General features: G+C 38.1%; 1 protein-coding gene across 6 annotated transcripts in view; it reads right to left on the bottom strand.

The window, feature by feature from the left end:
* Positions 1-9,338, bottom strand: part of MYRIP (myosin VIIA and Rab interacting protein) — a 451,408-nt gene that overhangs the window by 199,554 nt on the left and 242,516 nt on the right. The gene's annotated exons all lie outside the window — the stretch shown is intronic.

The raw sequence follows: 9,338 nt of genomic DNA, 5'->3' as shown, positions 1-9,338 counted from the left end.
CACACAAAATTAGCTGGGTGTAGTGGTGGGCGCCTGTAATCCCAGCTACTAGGGAGGCTGAGGCAAGATTATTGCTTGAACCCAGGAGGTGGAGGTTGCAGTGAGCTGAGATAGCGCCATTGCACTCCAGCCTGGGTAGCAAGAGCGAATCTCTCTCTCTCTCTCTCTCTCAAAAAAAGAAAAAAAAAGAAAATCTAATACCCAAATCCATAATGTTTTCCAAGATGTAACCATGGCCCTCTAAAATATTCAAGTATAACCATACACATGTCAGCCTTATTCGCAAAATAACCACCAACAGAATATATGCTGCCTTTTTTGTCAGTGTTTTTCCTTTGAAATAAGAAAAAAAAAATCTGAGTTCAAGCAAAACATAGTCCACAAACTAAAAGTGGCAGAACTCTCTTGGTTCATCAATATCATTTATAAAGAGGCATTTAGACAAAGGTTTCTGGTTAAAAATGATAGAGTAAAGGCATCACTGCCTTGCTGTCCTCTCTGAAACCATCCAAGAAGAACTCACAGTTCTCAGGCAAAATGATCAGAGCACAGAGTTTCCCAAAGCAGGGGTCACCCCTGAGGGACAAAATTAATGACACCTTGTAAAATTTTTTTTTTTAAAAAGACTCAATTTTTGATGTTTGGCAGTTGACAGCTTTGAAGCCCTATCTCTCTTCTTTCTCTTGCTTTTGTCCTATATCTGGGCAAGGTGGTAAGAAAGCCCACACACTCAAGTCCCACACCACATGCAGAAAGCCTTATCCCATTCCACTCCCTAGTCACTGTAAGGGCCCAACCCATTCTCTCTGCCTTGCTTGTTATCTGGACTGGCATGAGCCTTCCAGTTTGCCTCACAAAGTCCCATCATGTGAATAATGAACTTTTTCATATCCTCTTAGTGGGTTTGGAGTTGTCATCTCAACATGGAAACTAATTTTGGATGGAATGTTGATCTGGCCCTTCACGGGGCAACCACAAAACACCTGGCTTAGACCAGTATCTAAAAAGGAGATGAAGAACCCAGTCTGGAAGTTAAGAAAATCCAAGAAAAAACAAAAGAAAATTCCTCTTGAGGATTTCGCACTATGGAAAACCTAATAGAAACATGAACTCAATAAGGCAAGGGCTCAAGAACTCAAAGACAAAGTGTCTTTGAAAAGACAGATCACCAATCAAAGAAACAAAGAAAGACATTTATACGGCCAACAAACATATGAAAAAAAGCTCATCATCAATGGTCATCAGAGAAATGCAAATCAAAACCACAACAAGATACCATCTCATGCCAGTTAGAATGGTGATCATTAAAAAGTCAGGAAACAACAGATGCTGGAGAGGATGTGGAGAAACAGGAACGCTTTTACACTGTTGGTGGGAGTGTAAATTAGTTCAACTATTGTGGAAGACAGTGTGGCAATTCCTCAAGGATCTAGAACCAGAAATACCATTTGACCCAGCAATCCCATTACTGGGTATATACCCAAAGGATTAGAAATCATTCTACTATAAAGACACATGCAAACGTAAGTTTATTGCAGCACTATTCACAATAGCAAAGACTTGGAACCAGGCCAAATACCTATCAATAATAGACTGGATAAAGAAAATGTGGCACATATACACCACAGAATACTATGCAGCCACAAAAAAGGATGAGTTCATGTCCTTTGCAGGGACATGGATGAAACTGGAAATCATTATTCTCAGCAAACTAAAACAGAACAGAAAACCAAACACTACATGTTCTCACTCATAAGTGGGAGCTGAACAATGAGAACACATGGACACAGGGAGGGGAACATCACACACCGGGGCCTGTTGGGGGGTGGGGGGCTAGGGGAGGGATAGCCTTAGGAGAAATACCTAATGTAGATGACGGGTTGATGGGTGCAGCAAACCACCATGGCACATATATACCTATGTAACAAACCTGCACGTTCTGCACATGTATCCCAGAACTTAAAGTATAATTTAAAAAAGAGAAAAAAAGAATCCGTATAGACATATTGAAAGTATGAAACCACCATTAGTGAATACAACCCAAGTACCATGTTCAAAATGGTGATTATCTCTGGGGGAAGGGAAAAATGCAATTAAAAAAGAGGACTCAGGGGCTTCCTTAGGATAGATAATGTTTTAGTTCATAATCTGAGTGAAGGAGCCATAAGTATTTGTAATCTCATTCTTAATTCTCTTGGTATAACTTTATAATTGCATAGCAAACTTTTAAAAATTGCACATTAAAGAAGACATTCATGTAGTCAAGTTAAAAAATGTTAGCTATATAATATTAACTTAGCTTGATGATTAAAACTTTTGAGCAGAAAAAAATGAAATGCCTATTGAGATACAGTACAAATAGTTTTCAATTGATGTTTGTCTTGAAGCTATAGTCTTCTACACATATTTTTTAGTTTCTAGGGACTTCAAAACTTAAAGTAATACACACTTAAGTTTATTAGATGATGACTTGAGTCTTAATATCCTCAAACATTCACTGTATGATCCTATGAAGTCTTTCAGAAGGTACCTAAGTCTCCTCATTCACCAATTCCCAAGTGGTGGTATCTTTAACTGCCTTAGGTCAATGCTGGGAAAAAAATTATGGGAATTAATTATAGAAATTAAATTGTTTGCGTGCTAAAAAAGAAGTACTACACATTGAGAAAATGGTTTCATAATCATAAACAATGATATGGTGCTAAATATTTTATAAAGTAAATACCCATGCAGCAACTTCAAAATGAAAACATCATAGTAATAGCTCTGAGTCATTGCAGCTAAGTCATTGCTAAGTGATTTTTGTGCTGTATCCCTCTTTTCCTCTACAATAATCTTTTGAGGAAAGTACTGTTACTTCCAAACTCAGAAGGGTTAAATAACTTGTCCACCATCACCCAGCAAATAAGTGGCTAATCCAGCATTCAAACCCATTAATCTGTCTGATGCAGAGCACATGAACTTAATGCATGGATATAGGATGGAAAAGAACCCCAAAAGAAAGCAAAGCCCCATCCCTTCCTCTGGAAGATGTTGCTAGCAGAGGAAAATTCTGGCCTTCCCAAAACACAAGTTTCTAGTGCAGAAGATCATTACCTTTTTGATAACATATTTTAGGCTCCATCATTCCATGTGTGCACCACTAAGACAGAGAAAGTATGAGTTCTGGGACAGGGGTGGTCTGTGAGAAGCCACTGGGGCCTCTGAGCAGGACTTGCTGGGAGTTACCAAGGCATATGGTGCCTGTTCTTACAGGTCAGCATCATTCTCCTATTTTATGACATACGGAGGTTGTCTAGATTAACGTTAGCTTCTAATTGCTGTTCTAATTCATTCAAGGGCTCTGATGTGTTAGAAAAGAGATATTTTTCATTTCTTCTTTTTAACTTCAGCCCCTTTGAAATACCAGCTGCCTTAGTTCCAAAATGCAATCCCAGTAACAAGCCGGCTTTGATGAGTCAGGCTGAGGGAAAATGTGAAGAACACCCTGGCTCTTGGCAGCTTTTGACATAGGACTGTTTAGGCTTCTCCAAAATCTTAATTGAGGCTCTTTTTGTGAATCTGGAGCTTACCAGAATCTAGTAGATAGGGAACCAAGCATGAAGGTGAAGGGAGGAAAGAAGAGAAGGTGTGGAAGGTGGTGGGGGTGTTGAGTTTCATTCCAGCATAGTCCATAGATGCTAAAGGGCTCTTCTTTAGGGCTCCTAGAGAAGCCGGCAACACTGTTACTATCACATCAATAACAGCAGTAATTAATAAAAGTAACTGATATTCACTAAACACATAAATGTCAGGTACTGAAGCAAATTTCCTTGATTTAATCCTCACAACAACTCCAAGGGATGGGCACTGCTACCCCTACCCTTTGCATAGTGAATGGTGGATTTCAATTCAAGTATTTAATTCCAGAGTCTGTAATTCCAACACATACCACAGACTGACAACTTCGGGAAGGTACCCAACCTGCTTCATTTTATAATGCGCTATGGATTTTTAAGTTAATCCAATTCCATCTATTAAACTAAAGCTCCTTAGTGAAATCTAATCTATTAATTAACCTAAGTTATTTAGCTTATTTGTGCTTAAGTTTCTCTATAAATATAATGGAGAAATAATAGTACCTACCTCGTGGTATAATTATGCATATTTAAAGAGTTAATATTTATAATGCTCTTAGAGCAGTGCCTAGCACATAGTGGTTGTTAAATAAAATTCTCTCTAATTAAAGCTTGCCCCTACAGCAGCTGGGAAACAGCCATGTTTATCCAGAAAAGAAAACCATAAGCCTCGAGAAACTGTGGTATGGGAAAGACTCTGAGAAGAGACTCTAAGAGTATACTTGCTGTGCTTAGGGTTGTCAAGAAGTGGGATGCAGGCCTCCAGCTTGAGGCCAAAGGTCTAAAATCAGCAAGTACTTAGCTGAAAACCAACCTGATAAGTTCTCCCATGTTCTCAATCAGGAAAACTGATAGTGAAGTTGGAAGCTGTAGAATAAACACTGCTAGGAGGCAATTGAATCACAAGATATGTGTGGTGGTGGCAAGGGAAGTATCCCCTTGCCCTAACTAGCTTCATATTTAATTACATCCCAAGGAACGGAAAGAATGCCCAGGCATGGTTCCCAAAGCAAGCTGATGATCTTCAAAGAACCACACAAGCTCGCTAAAGAGCCAGGGATGCCTGTCACACGTGCTGGCTAAGCTTTTACCACTTCCTTAGTGGGGAAGAATTAGATGTTAACATCAAAACCCCTCTGTACACTAATTAATATTTGTTGAATTACAATGATGTTTATGTGAATGCTAATAATCATATATGGTTTAGTTCATGGCATGGATTTAGTCATTTTCGATTAATTCTCTTATTTCTGTATTATCTAGTTAAAGAAAACCTCCAGCTCGTGTTAAAATTGGAATCTATTGTGGGGCTCTCAGCTTACCCTTGCTGTCTAGATCCTGGTCCAAGACTGGCCAGAGTAGAGGAGCTATGTTCCTTAGTAAAAGACATTGTAACAAGGTTTGTTTGGCCTGGATGTAACTCCTCAACCAAAACATATGAAAACAGTAAAGTGCTATGGACAGATGAAAAATGATTACAATGGGGATTATCTGTTGTAAGGCCTGTTCATGTCCTTGGTATGGTATGGCTGAGTGATGAGAAGCAAACCAGAGAGGTGGGCATATTCTTCCTCCAGAAGTCATCAAACATCTGAGTCACAGGTGCTTTTTATGTTTTTGGCTTTTCTCCCGCCTCAACTCATGACAAGCTGTTCAACTGTTGCCTCAATTTTAAAGAGCATTTTCTATTGATTTTTCTCCCCTAATTTAAAGGTGTTATCAATTAGGGGCTAAATGAGGAGCATTACCTATGATGGCAGTTTGTTTTCTATTTGATAGCCTTTTTATACTGGCACTTGAACAAAAGATAAACTTTCCCATTTTATTTTTTCCCAAAAACCTTAAAGCACATTTGTAGCATATCTAATACTGCAGCTTATTATATTTTCAGAAGTAGTTTTCATTGTAATGCCACTAAGATATATCAAACACTGGTGTGATTGGTGGGTATGTACTTGATTGATTATATGATAAAAAGGTGGTGCTAAGGAAATGCCTAAAGGCCTCAAGACTGGGTACAAACCTAAATACCAGAGTGTAAAGCAGTTAAATATTTGTCATTTTTTCCCTACCATGTAAATAAGCAGAGTCAGTGATGACATCTGCTAGGCTGGTGACTGTTAAAAGAAAACAGAGCTTAAGAACCCATGATTTCTTATTACCCTAATTGCTCCAAGGCCAAAAAATGTGGCCCTCTCAGTAGTGTTCCTTGGTCCATGAATCTATAGTGAGTTAATAAGAACTATGCTATTAGCCAGTGTGATGTTTTTTCAGTTGCTAAAATCTCCAGTAATTTGAAAATATGCCTTGCGGCAGACGATGACGGTTGCCAAGGCATCCACTCCCCCTTCATTCTAGCTAACATCTAGCTAAAGTGCCAGAGAGAGACATTTATTTTAAGGAATAGGCTTATGAGATTGTGGAGGCCAGCAAGTCCACACTTTGTAGGGTGGATGGCAGGCTGGAGACCCAGGGAAGAGTGGATGTTGCAGCTTGAGTTTGAAGGCAGACTGCTGGAAGAATTCCCTCATCTTTGGGAAGGTCAGTCTTTTTTCTCTTAAGGCCTTTAGTGGATTGGATAAGGCTCACCCACATTGTGAAGGGCAATTTGCTTTACTCAAAGTCTATTGATTTAAATTAATTTATCTAAAAAATATTTTCACTGCAACATCCAGACTAGTATTTGACTCAATACCTAGGTGATATGACCTAGCCAAGTTGACACATAAAATTAACCATCATAGTCCCTTATGCAAACAAACTCATGTTAATAAAAACCTATGGTGATCAGGCTATAAATGTATCCTAAATGCTCAGATATTGTGGACATTACAGATTTAATAAAAAGCCTGTCAAACTTTGTATACCAAGGTAAAGCTTCATTTTTCTTCCTCTTTTAAATCCTATTAAAAGATGAATTGGGAGGCCAATGAGTTTCCAAAATAACTTAAAGATTTAATTCATGCACCTCATGTGCAAGGTCATGGTATATACTTTCACTAAGAACACAGACTTCTAAGGATTCAATCATTCAGTGGATACCACCAACTCATCCTCTGTGGTCCAGATAGGATAAATGTTAGAGCTGAAAGGCCTCAGGTAAGATGAACTTAAGGCAGCCAGAGTGACAAAACAGTTAGCGGGAGTGCCAATGCTATACCCATGGGCTGTGAGGCCACTATGCTGTGTTGGGGCTGTGTTCCCTGATGGTTACTCCCCTGTTCAGGTCTGTTCTCACTACTACAGCTGCTCAGGAAATCCAAGTGTGCAGTTAAGTGCCTTGTAGACACAAGTGCCTTCAAGAGGAAGCAGAAATCACCACCATTCTTTTGAGGTGAGGGAGCACAGGCTGGCTATTCCTCTAAAGACTTAAACTAGGGTGCAGGGCCTGGTTGAGTAAGGAAGCCTGTTGAGCAGTTGAAGGCAGGGGACCCAGAGGCTCAGGCTGTTTTCCTGAGGATATTGTAAGGAGACTCCTGAACTTGGGACTAACAAGGTGACCTTGAGACAACCACATAATCATTCCAAGTTTCAGACTTCCCTGGCCCTACACGTGGTTTATCACTTGCCCTTCACAGAGTTCTTGTAAGGATTAAATGAAACAACTCATCTGAAAAGACAAATTCAATCCCATACCCATAGCAAGTCCTCTTGATACATTTATTTGTTCTTTAATCTATTGATATTAAAGAACTAGTGAATGGAAAATATGTTTAGCTTTCACTGGTGGCAATTTAAATTTTAAAGAATTCCTATCCACCTCATGGTCACTTAGGGTCACTTTGACAATGATTCAGATTGAGCTCTGTGGTTACAGTCTCTGCAGAGATCTGATTTAGACAGGGCAGTATCTTAACCTAAATTGCCCATTAATTGGGACTTCAAAATACATGTCCCCTTCAGTGGCTCCATTATCCCTGGGAAGCCAGGTGGTATCAGCCCTGTGGCTTAAAGTGGGGCAGGGATGGGGGGAAGGGCAACACTAGGCTGATAAAGGAGAGGATTTTGGAATGGGGAAGAGAGAAGGGAGCAAGTCCTACATTTCTTTATGTTTATTTATTCCTGGTTATAAAAGCATGCATGCAAAATGTGGAAAACTTGGAAACTAAATGGAAAATAGAGGTAAGAAGAAAATAATCCACAAGCCTAGCTCCTAAAGAATGATTACTCCTAATATCATTGATTGTATATTTCCTTTTCTATTTTTCTATGTTTTCCTTATTACATAGTGATTATATGTACATTTTGCATTGCAGTTTTCAATCTAACATTTTAATATAAGAGTTTACCCATACTAACAAAACATGTACATTATTTTAAAGGATTTATCATATTGTGTCACGTTGAATGTGTCCTAACTTACTTCTACCATTTTATTGTTGAGCATTTAGATTATGAATATTCTTTATATTACAAATAATTCAGTATAACTCATTTTTGTACAGCATTTAAAAAATTATCTTACATCATCAGTTGTAGGTTTTCAAACATGAAATTACTGGGAAAAAGAGTGCTTGGATATGCTAAAGGCTCTTGATACATGATGGTAAAATGTTGTGCCCATTTATACTTCCCCAGCAATGGAAAAGAGTGCCACTAATTTAATTTAAAAAACTACTTGAAGCATAAACCTCTATTCCCTTGATTTCTAATGAGGTTCAATATTTCCCCATATATTTGTTAACTTGTGCATATTCTTAGCCCACGGTGATAATTGTTTAATGTATTTTTCAAAGGATATTACAAATACATTGGAGTATCTCTAAAGCATACTGTGGAATAAAACCCTGTCACCGGCAGCAACATGGATGAAACTGGAGGTCATTATATTAAGTGAAATAATCCAGGCACAGAAAGACAAATATTACATGTTCTCATTCATATGTGGGCGCTAAAAAAGTGGACCTCATGGAGGTAGAGAGTAGAATTTCGGTGGTTACCAGGGGCTGGGAAAGGAAGTGAGGAGGAAGGGATGAAGAGAAGTTGGTTAAAGGGTACAAAAATACAGTTAAATGGAAGGAAAAAGTTATAGTATTCAATAGTATAGTAGGGAAATTACAGTTAACAACAATTTATTGTATATTTCAAAATAGCTGGAAGAAAAGAATTGTAACATTTTCAACACAAAGAAAAGATAAATGTTTCAGGTGATGGATATTCCAGTTACCCTGATTTGATCACGACACATTATATACAGGTATCAAAATGTCACACATACCCTCAAAATACATACAACTAAGATATATCAATAAAAATAAATAAATAAATAAAACATACTGTGGAGTTTATTCCAAAAGGACAAGATGCAATTTATGAGGTATGTGGGCTGTGTGAATACCAAGTAATAAGTGACTAGATAGAAGTAAATAATACTCAATTCCAAGGAAAAAGAAAAGAAGCCTTAAGTTTTCTTAGAAAAACCAAAGCAAATGCCACAAGCTTAATGAGCTGTGTTTTGATTTCAGTTCCAAGAATAATTTTTCTCCCATTCACTGAAAACAATTTTCCAAATTGTTCTGTGTTAAAGGTAATGTAGGCACACCTTGGGCATATTGTGGGTTCAGTTCCAGACCACCACAATAAAGCGAATATCACAAAAAAGTGAGTCACACAAATTTTTTGTTTCCCAGTGCATATAAAAGTTAGATAGACTATACTGTAGTCTATTAAATGTTGTGCACATAAAATTTATGTTTACAACATTCTGTAGTCTTTTAACTG

This window comes from Homo sapiens, chromosome 3, assembly GCF_000001405.40.
Source record: "Homo sapiens chromosome 3, GRCh38.p14 Primary Assembly".
Lineage (NCBI taxonomy): Eukaryota > Metazoa > Chordata > Mammalia > Primates > Hominidae > Homo > Homo sapiens.
The sequence above is the reverse complement of the archived record's forward strand: the minus strand, read 5'-3'. Positions and strand labels throughout refer to the sequence as shown.